This window comes from Homo sapiens, chromosome 12 (assembly GCF_000001405.40).
Source record: "Homo sapiens chromosome 12, GRCh38.p14 Primary Assembly".
NCBI lineage: Eukaryota > Metazoa > Chordata > Mammalia > Primates > Hominidae > Homo > Homo sapiens.
The window spans coordinates 120,032,192-120,054,828 of record NC_000012.12 but is presented as its reverse complement, the minus strand read 5'-3'; the positions used below and the strand labels follow the sequence as shown (position 1 = coordinate 120,054,828).

Sequence of the window (22,637 nt, the reverse complement as noted above, 5' to 3'; positions counted from 1 at the left end):
GGCTCACTGCAACCTCCGCCTCCCAGGTTCAAGTGATTCTCCTGCCTCAGCCTTCTGAGTAGCTGGGACCACAGGTGTGTGCCACCATGCCCGGCTAATTTTTTTTGCATTTTTAGTAGAGATGGAATTCCTTCATGTTGGCCAGGCTGGTCTCAAACTCCTGATCTCAAGTGATCCGCCCACCTCAGCCTCCCAAAGTGTTGGGATTAGGCGTGAGCCACCACACCCAGCCTATTATTAATCCTCATTTTATATGACTGTAATATTCCATCAAGTATTTCCTTTACCATTCCCTTATTATTAGGCACGTGGGATTTCCCCATATTTTGCAATTATAATGCATTGATGAAGACATGTCACTGGCGTAGTGGTAGAAAAACTTACCTGAGTAGAAGTAGACTGGACAAGCTTACTGTGTCAGCAAGGTAGATTAATACTCTTCAGAAAAGAAAACCTGGCCAGGTGGCTCATGCCTGTAATCCCAGCACCAATTTGGGAGGCTGAGGCAGGCAGATCACTTGAGGTCAGGAGTTCCAGACCACCCTGGCCAACATGCAGAAACTCTATCTCTACTAAAAAAGCAATAAAATTAGCCGGGGGTGGTGGGGCACACCTGTGGTCCCAGCTACTCGGGAGGCTGAGGCAGGAGAATAGCTTGAACCCGGGAGGTGGAGGTTGCAGTGAGCTGAGATCACACAACTGCACTCCAGCCTGGGCGACAGAGCGAGACTCTGTCTCAAAAAAAAAAAAAAAAGTTACAATTTTTTTGGGATTATAGGTGCCCACCACCATGCCTGGCTTATTTTTTTTATATTTTTAGTAGAGACAGGGTTTCACCATGTTGGTCAGGCTGGTTTCAAACTCCTGACCTCAGGTGATCCGCCCACCTTGGCCCCTCAAAGTGCTGGGATTACAGGGGTGAGCCACTGCACCTGGCCTTACAGTTTTTTATATACACAAATGAGGAGTCTGATAAACATACATGTATTTATGAGCATACATATACTTATTCCCTAGCTCTGTCCTCTGAGAGGACCTACATACAATGACACTCTAGTAGCAATACACGCATAGCACTCAAATCTTGCTTTCCAAATACCATTCTCTAATAAATGAACGAAGGCTCCTTGGAGAAAAGGCTAGTTTCAGGGTTGGGGCAGGAAAAATACAGGATGAGCCTGGAATATCTCATGGTACTGGAAAGTAAGAAGTGCTCAAAAAATGATGGTGGCACATGAAAAAATAATGGTTGACACAGGAGTCAATCTGAAGGAGCTCCTAATGGCTAAGGCAAGGACCATTTAATCAATAAACAAATAATGACAGTAATGGATTATAACACATAGGATAAATATTCCTGAGTCTACACTGATAAACAATTCAATCAACAAACGGGGAAAAGGGCTCTTCTCCCTTACAGGATAAATGTAGAAGAAATGATGAAAATAGAAGGCGCAGTAGCTCACGCTCTAATCCCAGCACTTTGGAAGGCCGAGGCGGGTGGATCACCTGAGGTCAGGAGTTCGAGACCAGCCTGATCAATATGCAGAAACCCTGTCTCCACTAAAAATACAAAATTAGCCAGGCATGGTGGCACATGCCTGTAATCCCAGCTACTCGGGAGGCTGAGGCAGGAGAATTGCTTCGCTTGAACCCAGGAGGCAGAGGTTGTGGTGAGCCGAGATTGCGCCATTGCACTCTAGCCTGGGCAACAGGAACAAAACACCTCAAATAAAAGAATGAAAATCAGGCTGGCTGTGGTAGCTCACGCCTGTAATCCCAACACTTTGGGAGGCCAAGGTGGGTGGATCATTTGCGGTCAGGAGTTTGAGACCAGCCTGGCCAACATGGTGAAACCCCACCTCTACTAAAAATACAAAAATTAGCCAGGTGTGGTGGCGGGTGCCTGTAGTCCGTAGTGCCCAGCTACTCAGGAGGCTGAGGCAGGAGAATCGCTTGAACCTAGGAGGCAGAGGTTGCACTGAGCCAAGATTGTGCCCTGCACTCCAGCCTGGGTGACAAAGCGAGACTCTGTCTCAAAAAGAAAACAAAAGAAAATCATCATTAGGCAAGCATCACAGTAATTGCTGCAGGCAAGACCAGAGAACGAATGCTAAAATTTGTGGGCAAAAGTTTCATGAGAAACAGGATATTTTCATATCCTCAAAGTATCTCTTCATAAGATTTACTGATTTATTAATAACAAAGGGAAAAATCATTTATAGTGGGGAGCCTGGCAAACACTACCTTAACCAAGCAGTCAACATCACATGTCCTCCATATGATGTACTGAGAAGGGCCCAACTGTACTTTTGTGCTATTCTCGGCAAGACTGAATAACCTCAATCTAATTATGACAAAACATTAGACAAACCCAAATGAATGACTTTGTACCAAATAATTGATCAATAGTCTTCAAAAGTATCAAGTTCAAGAGAAACAAAGACTATTCAGAATGAACTGTCATCAATTAAAATGAAAGAAAAAGAGAAACAGAGAAAGAGAGAGAGAGAGAGAGAAAGGAAGGAAGGAAGAAAGAAAAAGTTAGAAAGAGAGAGAGAGAGAAGGGGAGGGGAGGGGCGGGGAGGGGAAAGAAAAACAAGGCATGCCTGTAATCCCAGCACTTTGGGAGGCCAAGGTGGGCAGATCACGAGGTCAGGAGTTCAAGACCAGCCTGGCCAACATAGTGAAAACCCGTCTCTACTAAAAATACAAAAAAAATTAGCTGGGTGTGGTGGCGGGCAACTGTAGTCCCAGCTACTTGGGAGGCTGAGGCAGGAGAATCACATGAACCGGGGAGGCAGAGGTTGCAGTGAGCCGAGATCATGCCACTGCACTCCAGCCTGGGAAACACAGCGAGACTCTGTCTCAAAACAACAACAACAACAACAACAACAACAAAGACTGAGAAACTGGCAGAGATTGGAGGAGAGAAAAGAAACATGACAACCAAGTGCAACATGGAAGCCTGAACCGGATTCTGGAGCAGAAAAAGAACATTTGTGGGAAAACTGACAAAATTCCAATAGGTATGTAGATTAGTTAATAGTAGTGTCTCAATATTAATTTTCTGGTTTTGATAACTGCACTATGATTACAAAAGATGTTAACATTAGGGGGAGCTACATGAAGGGTATTTGAGAATCCATATTGCTTTTGTAGCTTCTTTTTTAAGCCTAACTTTTTAAAATCCTAGACTAGTTGTGCCCCCAAGACACTTAACAGAAGAAAACGCAAATCCTCTTTGGAGGATGGTACCTTCAATCCGAAGATCAAATAATCTCCATAAATAGTTTTCTAATAAAAATAATATTATAGTAAAAAAAATTAAAAACAAACATGTACCCATGGAAACAAGGACTCATTAGGAAGTACTGGTAGAAACAGATTCATAAAAACTTCACATCCTGATATTATCAGATATAGACTATAAGACAACGCTGCTATGTTTAGAGAAATAAAAGATTAAAAATATCTCCAGGGGGCTGGGCTCAGTGGCTCACGCCTGTAATCCCAGCACTTTGGGAGGCTGAGGCAGGCAGATCACGAAGTCAGGATTTTGAGACCAGCCTGGCCAACATGGTGAAATGCCGTCTCTACTAAAAATACAAAAATTAGCCAGGTGCGGTTGTGTGTGCCTGTAATCCCAACTACTTGGGAGGCTGAGGCAGGAGAATTGCTTGAACCCGGGTGGTGGAGGTTGCAGTGAGCCGGGATCACGCCATTGCACTCCAGCTCTAGGCACTCCAGCTCTGGGCGACAGAGCAAGACTCTGTCTCGGGGGAAAAGAAAAAAAATCTCCAGGGAAGAGGAAAATGTAAAGTACAACCTTCTCAGATTTGGAAAAGATCCAAGATATCTAGAAATACAAAATAATAACTTAAAATTAAAAACCCAGGCCAGGCCCAGTGGCTCATGTCTGTAATCCCAGCACTTTGGGAGGCCAAGGTGGGAAGATCACTTGAGGCCAGGAGTTCAAGACTAGCCAAGGCAACACTGAAGAATTCTGTCTCTAATAAAAATTAGCTGTGCGTGGCACACAACTGTTAATCCCAGCTACTTGGGAGGCTGAGGCATGAGAATTGCTTGAACCTGGGAGGCAGAGGTTGCAGTGAGCCAAGATCGTGCCACTGCATTCCAGCCTGGGCAACAGAGTAAGACTCTGTCTCAAGCAAAAACAAAAAATGTCACAAAACCCAATGGGTAGTATCAAAATTAAAGACTTCTAAGCATTAGAAGACATCATTAAGAAAACAGATCTAGGCCAGGCGTGGTGGCTCACGCCTGTAATCCCAGCACTTTGGGAGGCTGAGGCAGGTGGATCACGAGGTCAGGAGATCGAGACCATCCTGGCTAACACGGTGAAACCCTGTCTCTACTAAAAACACAAAAAAATTAGCTGGGCGTGGTGGCGGGCACCTGTAGTCCCAACTACTTGGGAGGCTGAGGCAGGAGAATGGCGTGAACCCAGGAGGTGTAGCTTGCAGTGAGCCGAGATCACGCCACTGCACTCCAGCCTGGGCGACAGAGTGAGACTCCATCTCAAAAAAAGAAAAAAAAAGAAAAAAAAAAAAGAGAATAGATCTATAAAGCTCAGACTGGGAGAAAATGTTTATAACACATATATCTGACTTGTATTCAGAATATATAAAAACCTCTAACTCAATAAAAAGACGCGTAATTTTTTAAATGAGCAAAACATTCGAACAGATACTTCAAAGACAAAAATAAATGAATGGCCAATAGGCACATGAAGAAGTGCTCCCCATCATTAGTGACCAGGGAAATGTAAATTAAAACCACAATGAGATACCACTACATACTCATAAGAAGGCTACAATTAAAAGGAACAACAACACAAAATACTGGGAATGTCAACAACTGGAATTCCCACACACTGTTGGTGGGAGTGTAAAATGGCATAACCTACTTTGGAGGAATAAAAAGCTTTCCAGTTTCTTCTTAACCTAATGGACAGAGTTTAAGAACACATGTGACAACTGAAGAGAAAATTACCAAATTGGAAGACTAGTCAGAAGGAATTATCTACACTACAATACAGAGATAAAGATGGAAAATAGAAGCACTACGTTAGTATAGTCCCCATATGTTTAAACTGCAGTTCCAGAAAGGACAGAGTGAATGGGACCGAGGCAATACTTGATGAGATAATGGCTGATAATCTCCTAACAATGAAAGACACCAATTCACAAACTCAAGATGCCCAATGAAAACAAAGCAGAAGAAATAAAACGAAATCCACACCTAGATATATCATAAAGAAACTGCAGAGCGCCAGACTAAGATAATCTGAAAAAGAAGATAAAAGACAACCTTTCCAGAGAAAACACTTGGTTCCCCTAACGACCACAAATACGGCCCATGTTAGCAGATCTCTTTAAAATAAAAAGACACATATAAAAATGTAATATGAAAAGACATTTTCTTGCTGAAATCTTTTAGTACTTCCCTATTACAAACAGGCACAAAAAGCCTTCCAAGGCCAGTCACCTGCCAACCTTCTATCTCCTGTAACTCTGTCCCCTTTATCCTTGTTCTTTCCCTAGGCATGCTTCTTCCCTATTTTTCACAGGACTAACTCTGTCTTTCTAGACTTAGCTATAGCATCATCTCTTCCCAGAAGCTTTCTGTGCTCCTTGGCATTCCAGAGGGACCCTCCTTTGCGTTCTCAGAGCACCCCAGGCACAAACTCTAGCAGAGGACATATTACATTTTATGAGTTATCTTCTTATGAGTCCTTCACCTCATTTGAAGCTTTTTAAGGACAGTGACAGCATCTAATTCATTTTTGCATTCCCAGTAGCTAGTCCAGTACCTGGCCAAGAAATGCCTGAACTGAACTGAATGAAGGATCTTTCAAGGCTGAAACAAACTGTCCTTGAGAAATAAAAGTTTAAAGGTACAGTAGGTAACTACAGAATGAAAATAAGAAAAAAATCTCCAAGAAACTAGAGTAGACACACAGACCCCAAATTAAAAAAAAATGTCAACAAAAGTTTAATAAGCCTTTCTGTGTGGCTAGATTTATCCTAGGTACTGGGGATGAAACAGAGAAGGCAGATCTGGTACCATCTTAGATTTCAAGGATGTCAGAGCTGGACCTTGCCAAAATAAAAGAAAATCAGTTAAGTGAACTCCTTCATTACACAGATGAGGAAACTGAGGCCCAGAGGAGATGCCTTGGTCACAGAGTGAGTAAGGGATAGGTAACCAAATGAGATAGGGAAAAAATGGAAAAGCAAATCACAGGAAACAAGAACCTGTAATTTTTTTTTCCCACATCAGACAGGCAATGTGCTGACACTATAAGGTTTGAGGAAGACACACCTCAAACAAGTGTGAAAGCCCAATCATCATGTTTATGAACTACAAAAAGATCAAGGACCTGTAATTTTAACAGCAATGCACTTGACAGTGAAAGGCTAAAGGAGAAGAAACTAAAACAAAACTTAAGCTTAGCAGAATCCAGATGTTTGCAAATATGGAGGTTGTATTATCTTAACAATCAGGAGAAATAAAGCCTAAGAGTTCAAGGCTACAGCAAGCTATGATCGTGCCTGCAAATAGCTTCTGTACTCCAGCCTGAGCGACACAGTGAGACCTCTCCCTCTTAAAAAAAAAAAGGTAAATTCATAAGACATCAACATCTAGGGAGAAAGGTGAAAGAAAAAAAACTGTGTTGATAACATCAAACAAAGATCAGGAATTTCAGTAATAATGAGGCTGGGGAGAGTGATATAATAATCATAACAAATTTCAGAAAGTGTAAGCTTAGAAAGATTGAGGGAGGAAAGGAGTCATTTGCTTGTTTTTTTTATTTTATTTTTAAAAGACCTTCCATTTTGGAAATATACAAAGTTTCATGTCCCTATGAGAGATATAAACTATAAGACACAATCTTCATTCTTAAGTAGCTGAAGATGAGATGAACCCTTATGAAGCAGCCAATATAAAGCACAGAATAAATATTTGTATAAACTGGCAGGTGACTTGAGAAGTACACAAATAAGGCAAAAATACAGTAATTATCTTAAGGGAAGAATAAACAAAGTACATAGCTGTATGACCTTCAAAAATTATCTAACCACTCTCTACCTCAGTTTCCTCATCTGAAAGATGGTGATTAAAAAAAAACTACCTTTCAAGTTATGCTAGCATTAAAATGCAATAATATATATGAAATGTTTAGCACAGGTTAAATATGTAATACACTATAGCTATAATTATTTATGATAAAGTGAAAATTCCAAATAGAATATTGGCTTTAGCTCAAAGGAAAACATGCAGTTTGAGAGTTGAAACTTCAGAGATAATCTGGTTCAAAACCCTAATTTTGCAGGTGATGAAATTGAGGCATGGGTCAACAAAGTTAGGCCCGTAAAGATACAATTTGCATGAAGGTTCCTGCCCAGGATCACAGAACTTGTTAGCTTCTGACTCCCATTTCAGTTTCTTTCCATTTCATTACCCCTTTTTAAGTCAAAAACAAATAGTCAGATATTGGATGATTTCCAGGGATGACAAAAACTCATCCCCTGGAATGAGGAAGGTCTGATGGCCCTAACAATTGTGAGGGAATGCCTGATAAAGTCAATGCTTTCCTGGTCATACTGTTTATAGAAGGCATGTATAAAAGCCACTATGTGCCATTTAGAAGGTATACATCCACTAGATAGGGGCATGTTTAATTTTGTTTCATTTGAACTAATGTCTAAATTAGAGCACAATAAAAGTTTTGTTATTATCCTTTCGGTAACTATCAGAAACGTAATCCCTCAGCATCAAAGACCAGCAACTCCAGCAGCACCAGCTTTAATTGAAAAAGAAAAAAGGACAAATGTTAATACTGCTTTTGTTTCTGGAAGAGGACTATTATTCAATGTCAGATCCCTACTGCTGGTTACTAACATTTCAGAAGTCAGAACAGATCTTTTAATTTTATTTTTAAATGTTCTATGAGGACTCATAATAAAACAGGCCCCAGATACTCCTAATACACCACACTGTACTCGCAATTGGAGATTTTGATTCAGTCTTTTTTTCTTAACCAAAATGACACTATCCCCTATGTTAACTTGATGGCCTGGCACTTTGCACTAATTCCAACATGGATGGAACACTACTATGCTTTGAACTGGGGATACAGAGATAAATAAGACATAGGTCTTGTGGAAAACTCAAGGTCTAAAAATAACATAGTCTCTTCTCTATCAGTTACTGTACTGTGTGACCACAGGCAAACTGCTTAATTCTCTGTGTCTCAGGTTCTTCCCTTACATTTAGGAGAAAGTAGTACCTACCTCATAAGGTTGTATGACTGAAATAAATATATGTAAAGTGTTTGGAACAGTGTCTGGTACACAGTAGGCAGTACGTGTGTTAGCTGTTGCTGTTACTATATTCACCTTCATCATTATTATAAGCCAGCTCTAATAACCTGAAAGATCAACTCTGACTTTAGAGCTGATGTTTAAGTCACTGGCACAGAAAAGTCTAACAGATTAAATGTAAGTAAGAGCAGACCTTAAAGAGCCTGAAGACAGAGCTTAAGAAAATCTGGCACAGGGACTGATGGAGGATGGAGAGAAGGACACCCCTAACAGAGGCAGAGTTGTAGGGAATTTAGGCACTTGCTTTCATCCATGAATGGTAGTTAGTAATAACAGAGAGGACTTGAAAGGTCTTGCAGCTAAAGGGGGAGAGTGGATATGAAAATGCAGCCAAGCTAAAATAATTACCACCCAGCTAAACTGAGGCACTGCATAGTTCCTAAGAACATGTCCACCTTGGAACAAGCTTCTGTTTCTTCAAGGGCAGAAATACTATGACTATCTTGGGCTTCCTGGAATGTGAAATGTTTATACTTTCTTTTTATTATTATTATTATTATAATACTTTAAGTTTTAGGGTACATGTGCACAATGTGCAGGTTAGTTACATATGCATACATGTGCCATGCTGGTGTGCTGCACCCACTAACTCGTCATCTAGCATTAGGTATATCTCCCAATGCTATCCCTCCCCCCTCCCCCCATCCCACAACAGTCCCCAGAGTGTGATGTTCCCCTTCCTATGTCCATGTGTTCTCATTGTTCAATTCCCACCTATGAGTGAGAATATGCGGTGTCTGGTTTTTTGTTCTTGCGATAGTTTACTGAGAATGATGATTTCCAATTTCATCCATGTCCCTACAAAGGACATGAACTCATCATTTTTTATGGCTGCATAGTATTCCACGGTGTATATGTGCCACATTTTCTTAATCCAGTCTATCATTGTTGGACATTTGGGTTGGTTCCAAATCTTCGCTCTTGTGAATAATGCCACAATAAACATACGTGTGCATGTGTCTTTAAAGCAGCATGATTTATAGTCCTTTGGGTATATACCCAGTAATGGGATGGCTGGGTCAAATGGTATTTCTAGTTCTAGATCCCTGAGGAATCGCCACACTGACTTCCACAATGGTTGAACTAGTTTACAGTCCCACCAACAGTGTAAAAGTGTTCCTATTTCTCCACATTCTCTCCAGCACTTGTTGTTTCCTGACTTTTTAATGATTGCCATTCTAACTGGTGTGAGATGGTATGTCATTGTGGTTTTGATTTGCATTTCTCTGATGGCCAGTGATGGTGAGCATTTTTTCATGTGTTTTTTGGCTGCATAAATGTCTTCTTTTGAGAAGTGTCTGTTTATGTCCTTCGCCCACTTTTTGATGGGGTTGTTTTTTTCTTGTAAATTTGTTTGAGTTCATTGTAGATTCTGGATATTAGCCCTTTGTCAGATGAGTAGGTTGCGAAAATTTTCTCTCGTTTTGTAGGTTGCCTGTTTCAATGCCATCCCCATCAAGCTACCAATGACTTTCTTCACAGAATTGGAAAAAACTACTTTAAAGTTCATATGGAACCAAAAAAGAGCCCGCATCGCCAAGTCAATCCTACGCCAAAAGAACAAAGCCGGAGGCATCACACTACCTGACTTCAAACTATACTACAAGGCTACAGTAACCAAAACAGCATGGTACTGGTACCAAAACAGAGATATAGATCAATGGAACAGAACAGAGCCCTCAGAAATAACGCCGCATATCTACAACTATCTGATCTTTGACAAACCTGAGAAAAACAAGCAATGGGGAAAGGATTCCCTATTTAATAAATGGTGCTGGGAAAACTGGCTAGCCATATGTAGAAAGCTGAAATGTTTATACTTTCAAAAGGAGATTGCATGAAAATGCTTGGAAAAGAAATTGAGAACCTTTTCGTAATAAACAGGAAGGCTAGGGGAAGACGGGCAGTTGGAATGACATTCTACTCAGCAAACTTTAACTTAGAACAGGGATGGAAATGGGCTGGGGTGTACCCTAAGGAGCCCTTCACTGGAGACAAGTGGTGACACAGGGACACATTCAGGATTCTCTCAGGAAAGAGCAGTCACGTCTAATCCTAATAAAGAAAGAAAATTTTAGTGTTTTTCATACTTCCCCACCTCACCCCGCCACCACCTGTTTTGGTCATATGGCTCACCAGGAGACTTCTTAGACCTAAAAAGAAGGTTACAAAGTTAAAATGTTCTTGTTTGGAATTGGAGAAGGGTTAGGGAAAAACTGCTTTCCAAACTGGTGGTCACTTTCTTCCCACCACCATAAAAACAAGACTATTAATCACAGTATGGCTTTTTCTTCCCTGAACATGCCTCTTTGACTTTGTTCATGATATACCCTCTTTTGGAATGTCTTTCCTCAAATTTTCACCTGATAAATTCTTAACCTTAACAGCCCAGTTCAGACATAACTTCCATATTGCCATTATAAGATCCCCGGTTAAAATGACTACATTATTTGCAGTGCTGCAATACTCTTATTAGAGAACTTATCACACACTCTGTTTACATATCTGTTTTCTCTTAGACTGGAAAAGACTTAAGGGCAGAAATTATATCTCCTATTTATCTTTGCTTCCCTAATAAAGTACATGGCACATGGCAGGTATTCAAATGCGTACTGTATGAGATAAAATCTGAACACCTTAAGTGAGGGCTTCTTGCAAAAGTCAAGCTATGACTGTAGAAAATAGAAGTGGGATTAACTTTAAGCCCACAAGTGCCCCTTTAGCAAGGTTCCACCAGGATCACCAGAGAATTAATGAGATAATTCCCTTTGATTTACATAGCCCATCCACAGGAAAGGGCACTATTTCCTCCTATAGGTCATCTCCATGGCTCAAGTAGATTTACTTAGCCTTTGATGTAAATTACGCATGACTGATCCATGGATTTGCTGCTCGGTGTTTCTACCTATACCCTCACCCTGCTTTTGCATGTGCAATCTTTTAATACTCAGAACCCATGACTATTTTCCCTGTTCCCTTTATAAACCTCACTCAAGTCTTTTCTTTTATAAAGTCATTCTCATTTGATAACAGATGGATTTGAAATCCTTTTCTTTTTTGGAGCTTGTCATTAAATAGGCACGCCCCAAAATATGTGTACTTGGGAATAGGCTGTAAATTCAGACTTCCTTCATCCTGGAAGACAAGCTCTTCTGTTAGTCTGGGTTGAATTCAACAAACTAAATCCAAGGAAAAGGAAGATGAATATTATTTAGCATTTTCTAGGTCGGAGCACTGCTCTAGGTAACATACCCAGGCTACTTCATTTTATCTTAACAACGCTACAGGATGAGCATTGTTAACCCCATTTCATCGATAAAGAAACTGAAGCTAGCCAAGATTAGGTCACATAATTGAGGTCACTTAGCTAGTAAATGGTGGAGCTAGGATTCAAATGCAGGTCTGATCCCAAAGCCAATGAGAGTGCTACTACACCACCACACCCAAGGGAAAACACACCCCTTGTGTCCACCTCTGGTTAGGTTTAGCAGAAAAATAGACACCAGGCTGGCACTTCTTCCTGAATGCTTTGATATCTAGTTTGTAATTTATCTCCAGCTCTCAGCCCTGACCTCTCCTCTGACTTAGGTTCTTCGTCTTTTTTTTTTTTTTTGAGGGGGAGTCTCGCTCTGTCGCCCAGGCTGGAGCGCAGTGGCACAATCTCGGCTCACTGCAACCTTCGCCTCCCGGGTTCAAATGATTCTCCTGCCTCAGTCTCCTGAGTAGCTGGGATTACAGGCACCCGCCACCAAACGCAGCTAATTTTTGTATTTTTAGTAGAGACAGGGTTTCATCATGTTGGCCAGGCTGGTCTCAAACTCCTGACCTCAGGTGACCCGCCTGCCTTGGCCTCCCAAAGTCCTGGGATTACAGACGTGAGCCACCACGCCCGGCCTGACTTAGGTTCTTATATCTAACTGCCTACTTACCACATCCACTTGGAACACTAATGTGCGTCACACTCAACATGTCCAAACCTGAACTCCTGATTTGAGGGCCTCCACCCAAACATGCTCCTCCTTGACTCTTCCCTTCTCAGGAGATGGCAACTTCATTCTTAGGAGTTTTGGGCCCCAAACAGGAATCATCTTTGATTTTCCCCTCACACTCCACATCCAACCCATCCACACATCCTGTGGACTCTACTGCTGAAATATACCTCAGAGGACTATTATGAGTATGAGATGAGCTGATATTTATAAAGCCATTGGAACACTGCCTGGCATATAATAGGTGCTATATGAGATTTATCGAGTAAAATTAATATCCAGGATGCTATCACTTCTTCCCGCCTCCACTCTCCCATCCTAGTCCCAGCCAGCATCACCACCCACCAAGACTACTGACTGTGGTGCCACCTACTTGGTCTCCCTGCTCCTACCCTTGCCCTCCTACAGCCTACTCTCTGCAGCACAGCAATTCTCAGAAACCCAAGTCAGACTATGTCACTGCTCAAAACCCTCTAGAAGCTTTCTTACTCAGAATAAAACATAATAAAGTCCTTACCATGACTTCTAAGATTCTACAGGATTCCTCCCTGCATCCCAATCTTATCTCAGATCTCCTCTTTTCTCCGCTGCATTCTCTTTGTTCCACTCATACTGGCCTACTTGCTGCCCTCAGACCTGCTGAGCAGACTCTTATTTCAAAATCTGTGCATATGATTCCCCTCTGCCTGGAACATGCTTTCCTCAGACATTCACGAGGCCTGTTCCTGCACTCCACTCGGGTCTCTTCTCAAATGTCATCTTATCAGAGAGGCCTCCTCTGCTCACCCTAACCCTACCTGTGCCGCCCTCCATTCCTTTCCTCTGTTTAATTTTTCTCTGTAGCGCTTATTACACCCGACAGATAGTTCTTTGTTAATCGAGCTATTGCCCCCGCCCCCTGCCCTTGATGTAAGTTTCAAAAGGTCTGGGCCTTTGTTTGCTGCCACAACCCCAGTACTCGGAAGTGAGCCAGGCACATAGCAGACAAATTTGAATGCAGGGAAAACATGTCTATATTAACTCATTTTTGGCTTAAGGTTGTCTGTAACAGGGAACAAAACGGTCTGTAAAACCCCCATATTACATAATGAGTTCAGGTTTCAGAGGTAAAATTTAAATATTAAGAATTTTATCTTTCAATCTTCCCTTTAGAGTAAAACTGATAGAAGAGGAATCATGTTGATTTTTGGCCCTTGCCCCTAACTATTATCAATAGTCACAAATTCTACATAATTAGATATAAAATCTTTCTCCTCCCTCTCAGTTTTACCTTATTTGTTATATCCACTTTATACAAACTATTCAACAAGAATTCAAACATAATGCTATTTCCTTACAGAAAAAAATCATGGCAAGATTTTTTCTTAAAAGTATTTCCTGCTGGCTGGGAGCAGTGGCTCATACCTGTAATCTCAGCACTTTGGGAGGGTGAGACAGGTGGATGACTTGAGGTCAGGAGTTTGAGACCATCCTGGCCAACATGGCGAAACCCCTCCTCTACTAAAAATACAAAAATTAGCCACGTGTGGTGCACATGCCTGTAATCCAAGCTACTCGTGAGGCTGAGGCACAAGAATTGCTTGAAACTGGCAGACAGAGGTTGCAGTGAGCCGGGATCATGCCATTGCACTCCAGTCTGAGCGACAGAGTGAGACTGTCTACAAAAAAAAAAAAAAAGTATTTCCTATTAAATGTTCCAACATGGAAATATAGGGCCAGGTGTGATGGTTCACACCTGTAATCCCAGCACTTTGGGAGACTGCGGCTGACAGATGGCTTGAGCTCAGGAGTTCAAGACCAACCTGGGCAACATGGTAAAACTGTCTCTACAAGAAATACAAAAAAATTAGCCGGGTGTGGTAGTGTATGCCTATAGTCTCAGCTACTCAGGAGGCTGAGGTAGGAGGATGGCTTGAGCCTGGGAGGTGAAGGTTGCAGTGAGCCAAGATGGTGCAGCCTGGGCGATAGAGCCAAACCTTGTCTCAAACAAACAAACAAAAAAACAAAAAGAAAAGAAAAGAAAGAAAAGAAAAAGAAGGCTGGGCTCGGTGGCTCACGCTTGTTAATCTCAGCACTTTGGGAGGCCAAGATGGGCAGATCACCTGAGGTCAGGAGTTCAAGACCAGCCTGACCAACAGCGATTCTCTACTAAAAATACAAAAATTAGCCGGGCATGGTGGTGCCTGTGATCCTAGCAACTCGATAGGCTGAGGCAGGAGAATGGCTTGAACCCAGGAGGTGGAGGCTGCAGTGAGCAGAAATTGCACCACTGCACTCCAGTGTGGGTGACAGAATGAGATTCTATCTCAGAAGAACAAAAAAAAGAAAAGAAAAGAAAAAGAAATATGGAATAACAGAGTTTAGATTTTGGATACAGCAGCTAGGTAGTCTGGTAACATCCCAGTGGGACATTCTACCAGTAAAATTGGGTATTTGTTGATGAAAGTGCTTCTTACATTTTGCCTTACTATAAGGTTCTGGATTGGCTGATGGTTGCCATGGAAACAGTAGTAATGCTAATATGGATTAGCCCCATAGGGTTTTACCACACTGGTTACAGAATTATTTTCTGTAAAGTCACTGAAAAGGTAATACGGTACGTGGGGCTAAAAAACTGGTGACACTCCCTGAAAGTGGGGGAGGGTGGAAGAGCCCAAACTCCTCCTCCAGGCCAGAATCTGTCCATTCCTTATCGTTATAATACCTACAGTTTGATAATCTAAGTTCTAGAGCCTCTTTAAATCCTACATCCTCCATGAAGCCTTTTCTTTTTTTTTTTTTTTTTTTTTTTGAGACGGAGTCTCACTCTGTCACCCAGGCTGGAGTGCAGTGGCGCAATCTTGGCTCACTGCAACTTCCGCCTCCCGGGTTCAAGCAATTCCCCTGCCTCAGCCTCCTGAGTAGCTGGGATTACCGGCATGCACCACCACGCCCAGCTAATTTTTGTATTTTTAGTAGAGATGGGGTTTCACCATGTTGGTCAGGCTGGACTCGAACTCCTGACCTCATAATCCGCCCACCTTGGCCTCCCAAAGTGCTGGGATTACAGGCGTGAACCACCACGCTCGGCCCATGAAGCCTTTTCTAATAAACACCAGCTCTCAGTTCTTGTTTTCTTTTCTTTTGTTTTTGGAGACAGAGTCTCACTCTGTCGCCCAGGCTGAAGTGCAGTGGCGCTATCTTGGCTCACTGCAACCTCCGCCTCCCAGGTTCAAGCGATTCTCCTGCCTTAGCCTCACAAGTAGCTGGGACTATAGACACCCGCCACCATGCCTGGCTAATTTTTGTATTTTTAGTAGAGATGGGGTTTCACCATGTTGGCCAGGCTGGTCTCAAACTCCTGACCTCAGGTGATCCGCTCGCCTCTGCCTCCCAAAGTGCTGGGTTTACAGGCTGAGTCACCGTGCCCGGCCTTGTTTTTGTCTTCTAATTCATATTTTTAAAAGTAGCCTTCATGTATTTTAAGAATCTAATGACAGTCTCTTGCATGGTTCTCTAGATGCAAGTGGAATTAACAACTGTACTGAGTACCCACCCTGAACCAGGCACCCGTGCCAATTGGTGTCACATGAACTATTTCATTAAATCCTCAAAATAATCCCTGTTAGACAGGTATTATTAACCTACTCTTTAGATGAGGAAACTGAACTTCAAAGAGGTTGTGACTTTCCCAATACAGTAAGTTATCTCCCTAAAATAGGCCTTATTACTAGCATTAAACTATGGACTCCTCAAAGGAAAGGGTCACTCAACTTCTGCAACCTCTCTAGCATTCGGAAAAGTCTTGGCTCACAACAGCCAATCAATCAAAACATGATTTAAAGAAAAAAATCAACATAATGATTTAAAGAAAACCAACAATGAAAAAAATTCACTACATTTAATGTGAGCAGGTGGGATGGGAGAGACTTTTTAAAAAAGAAATCAAATGTATTAAGAGACTTCTAACAATGTCCACATACTATTTTGAAAAAAAAAATACAAACACTTATATAAAGCTCTAACTATGAACACATTGATGTTTGGTCATAATCAACTGTAGGATGTGTTATAAGTCATTTCTTATTACTGATAAAGTAATAAAATAAATCCTTTACTTCAAAAAATATCACTAAGAGCAAATTCAAAATGCTCACTATGTTTTCTCAGGCGGAAGGGAAAAGGTGTAGTTACGGCTAGCCCTTTGCGCAAACTGAAGGTAACAGAAGCATTTGAGCATGTGTCTTGATGGAAAACGGGTTAGGAACCACTCACTGCTTTAGGAATAAGTATTGGGACAGGGATCACCTATTTTTGGACTCCATTCCCAACTGCTGCTGGCTCACTGGATGGACATGAGCAATGCATGAAGAATCTGGCCTCTGTCTACCCAGGGCTTCAAAAGCATGGGACAAACTACCCACTTCCAGGTCACCCTTCAGGGGCAATTAGACACTGCTTAATGTTCTGAGCAGGCATCTGTTTTCTTGTTTCTCTAGGATAGTGAGGGAGCAAGAGTAGTTTGCTCCCTGCCAAGTGAATTGGCTTGTGGAAATGAAACCAGTAGACTCTGAAGTTGATTAACTCAGTTGCCTACTTCTGAGAAGGATGGAAGGTCAAAGGACGAGTCTGTTAAAACAAACTCATATTATAAAAAAGTAGGAATGTATTATGTAGACCAGGCTACAAAGAATGTCTTTATGATTTTAAACAAATATAGTTGCTTCTAAGTGAACATCACCATCTCAGGAAGAGTTAGGAGATTAAAAGCATATCACATTTGCTCAGCTATTAAATACATAATAAAAATCAATTTCCTACTTCTCCAAAGTGTTGGAAATTGATTAATGTCTGTGGAAGCTTTCAGGTATAAAGTTCTCTCTCATTGCTGAGCACTATTCTATTTAAACTCCTCTCTGCTTCCTTACTGTCAGTCAACTTCTTATGTCTATCTGGGATGCCAGGATGGAGAATATTAATGAACTGCACGCAGTCTTACAAGCCTGAAAATTCTCGGGAGCAGGGAAGCTTAAAAAGACAGAAATGAATATGTGAAACCTCCAGACCAAGGCTTATTTAAATGCCAGAAAAATTATTTCAAGCAAAAAAGAACCAGTTCCAAATAACGTGTCTCCTCAGATCTCTAGGTGAGAGAGAAGGTACTTTAGAAATCAAAATGAACATTTATTAATAAAACTAACATACCAGAGAAGAGCACAAATACAACAAAGGCAATAATTCCAAATAATGCTGTACCCATTTCATTCAACATACGATTACTGAGCACCTACCACAGGCAAGACAACATGTTAGGCACTGAGTAACTTGTAGTACTGCATTCAAGCAGGACATGAAACCCAAGTGAAACAAATTAGGTGTCACACTTGCTAATGTAAAAGCAACAACACAGAAACACATATATTAAAACACTCAACTGACAGAACTTAAGTTCTGGAAAGTGAATCCTCAAAGCATACTGATTTAATTCCTTCATCATAGATTTGATTTTGGTAAACTTTCATATATGTCTGTGCAATAAGATTCACCAATAGTTGTCTGTTTGTTTTGTTTTTTGAGACAAAGTCTCACTCTGTCACCCAGGCTGGAGCACAGTGGCATGATCTTGGCTCACTGCAACCTCCGCCTTCCGGGTTCAAGTGATTCTTCTGTCTCAGCCTCCCGAGTAGCTGGGACTACAGGCGCATGCCACCACGCCCGGCTAATTTTTGTATTTTTAGTAGAGATGGGGTTTCACTGTGTTGGCCAGGCTGGTCTTGAACTCCTGACCTCAGGTGATCCTCCCACCTCAGCCTTCCAGAGTGCTGGGATTACAGGCATGAGCCACTGTGCCTGACCTAAGATTCACCAATAGTTCTAAGCTTTCCAGCCAATCAGCCATAATCACTACCTAAACCCAAAAGAACAGGCTTTAGACCAGATGAAAGAAATACAATTCCAGATAAAATTTAGAGAAGTCTAAACAAGTCTAACGCTCCCAGTACAAGGAAATGGCTTACTGATTCTATAGCTTGTTTCCACAGACTGAACAAAGTATAGCTGGTTTACACTGCAGCAGAAAGAATTAAACTAGCATAAAGGCTATCCCATGGATAACTGAGTAAATTCATAAAAGTCTTGAAATCACCTTCCATGGTTACACCTTCTGATCCATTAATTTTACTGCTAGGAATCTATCCTTAGAAAATAATTGGAGAAGCTGTCAAAGATATACATACCCAGCAATTCCCTAGGTGTATATCCCATAGTAATGTGTGCTTATGTGCACCAGACTGTATGTCCAAGACTGTTTATAGCAGCATTATTTGTTAATAGCTAAAACCTATAAACCATCACCAGTGAAACAGATCTGTGAATATTCATACAATGAAATATAATATACCAAAGCAAAATAATTTACTAAGCTACATGCATAAACATAAATTGTAAAAACTAAATGTTAAGTGAAAGAAGACAGAAAATAATTCACAATGTGTGATTCCATTTATATAAAATTCCAGAAAGGCAAAACAAAATGGTATTATTTATGAACATATACTTAGCAGGTAAAACTCATTATAAAGCAAAGGAAAGGAATGATTATTATAAAAGTCAGGTTAGTGGTTCCTCTTGGGGGAAGAAGAGGTCGTGCTTATGGAGGGAAATAAGAGTTGTGCTGGCAACACTATTTCTTAACCTGTGTGGTGGTTACAAAGGTTTTCCTTTTATTATAACATTTCATTAATATGTATGTTTATGTTTTATACTCTGTATAGAGCATGGTTTTTTGAAAAAAAATTCTTTAAAAAAGATTTTGACGCAAGGGCATTTCTCAGAGCTCCATTTACAGTAAGTAGTTTAGCAGGGGTTTAAGAGCAGGGTTTTAGAGTCAGCTGCCTTTGATGTGAATCCCAGTTCAGCCACTTGTTCACTATATGTGGTGACCTTAGGTGATAAATTTAGCATCTCTGAGCTTCATTTTTTCATTTCAAAGAAATAAGATAAGGCTACGTATCACATAGGGTTAACATGGGATCAAATGAGAGAAAGTGGTATCTTACATAATGCTTGGTACACAATAAGCAGTCAATACTTTTTCTCTATTTATTTATTTATTGAGATGGAGTCTCACTCTGTTACCTAGGCTGGAATGTGGTGGCATGATCTCGGCTCACTGCCACCTCCACCTCCCGGGTTCCAGCAATTCTCCTGCCTCAGCCTCCCGAGTAGCTGGAATTACAGGCGTGCACCACCACACCCGGCTAATTTTTGTATTTTTAGTAGAGATGGGGTTTTGCCATGTTGGCCAGGCTGGCCTTGAACTCCTGACTTCAAGTGACCCACCCACCTTGGCCTCCCAAAGTGCTGGGATTAGAGGTCTGAGCCACCATGCCCAGCCTCTCCTTTTATTCTTACTCTGGAGCAACAATTACAGAAACAACCTAACTCTAAGTATCTTCTTTGTGCATAACACAATTATACTAAGAGCTATGGGGGAAAAACACACAGCAAGTGGAGCTAAGACAGACAATCATAAAAAATAAAAATGTAAAGGTTACATAAAACAGAGACTGGAAGTGGCAGGCCTGCACTGCTGCTGGCCTTGAGGAGGCAATCAGCTGTGTTGTGAACTGCCTATGGACAGGGTCAACGTCTAGGAGCCACAGGCCTCAGTCCTGTCCTATAGCAACAAGAAATGGGATTTGGCCAACACCCTGAATGAGCTTAGAAGAGGACACGGAGCTCCAGATGAGAACCTGGCCTGGCCAACACCTTGAATGCAGAATTGTGAGACTCTGAGCAGAGAACCCAGTTAAGCCATGCTAACTCCTGATCCTTGGCAATGGTGAGATAATAGTTAGCTGACCCCTGCATCCCTCGAAAGAAACTGGCATGTGAAGCCAAATCCCAATAAGGGAATTTCTGGGATGATCTTACATCCCAAAACGGGTCATAAAGTCACATGTCCTGCCCTCTCCAGGGATTAACTGCCCAAGACCAGATGCCTCTGTTCAAGCTCAGTGCCCCACTCCAAGGAAGGAGACCCACTTGCTAGATAGCCGCTCTAAAACCCCTCTGTGTTAATTTTAGTGTCATAATTTTAGTTATAAAAGTAGTCCAGTCACGCCTTCTTGAGTTACATTCAAGTAACCTTGATTGTATTTTGCATGTTCCTAAATCTGTACTCATTAAAAGACAATTCTTAGTTTGTTATTTCTACAGATGGCAGATCTCATCCATATTTGCAGCCTTCCTAATTTCATTCGTAGGGATAAAGTATCATTTCTATTAGTCTATAACTAATACTAGTTTATTTTCCAAAATGAGAACAGCAAGTTTATGAACCAAAAACCATGTAGTGAAGTTACTTGTGAAAACTTTCATCAAAATGCTCGAGTACAAAAGATGAGAAAGTATGCCTGTATCTGGCTGTGTTGAAATAAGTTATCTTTCAAAAGCCAATGCCTGAACACTCCATAGATTACTTTTCTTGTCAATATGGAGAAAAAACTGAATAAGGGGGATCTCACATCACCACCACAGTCCAGGGGTCTCAGCACTGGTGACAGAGGGATGCCAGCTATGTGTCATCTGATGTAATACATCAGAAGTGCACATCTTCTGGCCAAAAATGTTTGACCTAAATCTATCAAGCTTATATATATATATACTCTCTCCAGTTAATACAAAATATCAGGGAATAGAAGAAGGAGCTAAACGTCATTATGAGGAAACAACCAGGTAAATTTAAAAGCAAGAACTCTCAGCCGGCCGCAGTGGCTCATGCCTGTAATCCCAGCACTTTGGGAGGCCGAGGCAGGCGGATCACAAGGTCAGGAGCAGGAGATGGAGACCATCCTGGCTAACACGGTGAAACCCTGTCTCTACTAAAAATACAAAAAACAAAATTAGCCGGGCGTGGAGGCGGGCGCCTGTAGCCCCAGCTACTTGGGAGGCTGAGGTGGGAGAATGGCGTGAACCCGGGAGGCGGAGTTTGCAGTGAGCCGAGATCATGCCAGTGCACTCCAGCCTGGACGACAGAGTGAGACTCCATCTCCCCCACAAAAAAAAAAAAAAAAAAAAAGGCAAGAACTCTCCACAGGAAAACTGGCCCAGTTTCTTCAACATGTCATTGGCATAAAAAAGGAAAAGGATTATAATAAAATAAATAACACTTAAAAGACCAGGCATAATGCACCAGACATAGAACAGTTCTGGTTTGGGTCTTGATATGTGAACCAGCTGTAAAGGACATCTTTTGAGGTCCACTGGGGAAATTTAAATTTGACTTGAATTACAATAATGAAAAAATTACTGAAGCGGAAAGGTGGAGATCACTGATCTAAAAAGCAGGTTACAAAGTAATACATGCAGCATATTATATGATTTTGGCTTAAAAAAATTATAGGCCAGGCATGGTGGCTCACGCCTGTAATCCCAGCACTTTGGGAGGCTGAGGCCAGCAAATCACGAGGTCAGGAGATAGAGATCATCCTGGCTAACATGGTGAAACCCTATCTCTACTAAAAATACAAAAAATTAGCCAGCATGGTGGTGCCCGCCTATAGTCCCAGCTACTTGGGAGGCTGAGGCAGGAGAATCACTTGAACCCAGGAGGCGGAAGTTGCAGTGAGCCAAGATCGTGCCACTGACTCCAGCCTGGGTGACAGAGCAAGACTCCATCTCAAAAAAAAAAAAAAAAAAAATTATAGATGTATTTAGGTAAACCTAGAAGAAGGTCCCTAAAGATTTGTACTAAGCTGTTTTCAGTAGCAATCTCTGGAAGGTGGAAATATGATGTTTTTAAATTATTTGGCTTGCCTCTATTTTTAATTTTTCTTCAGTGCACATGTAATGCTTTTGTAATAAAAGGTTAAAAATAAGTTAAATAAAATTTCCCAAGGCAGTGCCATATAAATGATAGTGACTTCAGAAAGTGAAAGTAATCACTGTGGGCTACAATGGTGAGGAAAGCCTTCATGGAATTAATTTATCATCTGGTCTTAGAAAATGGGACAGGCAGAAACTGTCAATTCTTTAACCCACCAGTCAGCTTAAAAGTGACAGGGCTGTGACAACTTGGCTAGGCCATAAGATACTTAGGCCAAAAAATAAAAAATTTTTAAAAATCTCCCTTTAAATCCTAGCTAGCTGCTCCTTGTTTCTGTCATTCTTCAGGACCCCAAAGCTACCCAATTCATCACCACCAGGAAGAGGAGCACCAACTTATTCTGGACTCATTTTCTCAAAAAGATTCTTC

The 22,637-nt window shown here is 41.4% G+C and overlaps 1 protein-coding gene and 1 non-coding gene across 17 annotated transcripts in view, besides 1 other annotated feature; both read right to left on the bottom strand.

The window, feature by feature from the left end:
• Nucleotides 1–22,637, bottom strand: part of BICDL1 (BICD family like cargo adaptor 1) — a 105,260-nt gene that overhangs the window by 39,667 nt on the left and 42,956 nt on the right. The gene's annotated exons all lie outside the window — the stretch shown is intronic.
• Nucleotides 1,792–1,965: a silencer, noted in NCBI's record as "fragment chr12:120490668-120490841 (GRCh37/hg19 assembly coordinates)". NCBI's record gives its function as "represses an EF-1alpha promoter that drives an FKBP-Casp9 reporter gene in an ReSE screen in K562 erythroleukemia cells {active_cell/tissue: K562}" and the evidence as "EXISTENCE:reporter gene assay evidence [ECO:0000049][PMID:32094911]".
• LOC124903114 (small nucleolar RNA U13) lies at nucleotides 6,301–6,399 on the bottom strand. The gene has a single exon (XR_007063649.1). It is a non-coding gene; the product is annotated as a small nucleolar RNA U13 (small nucleolar RNA).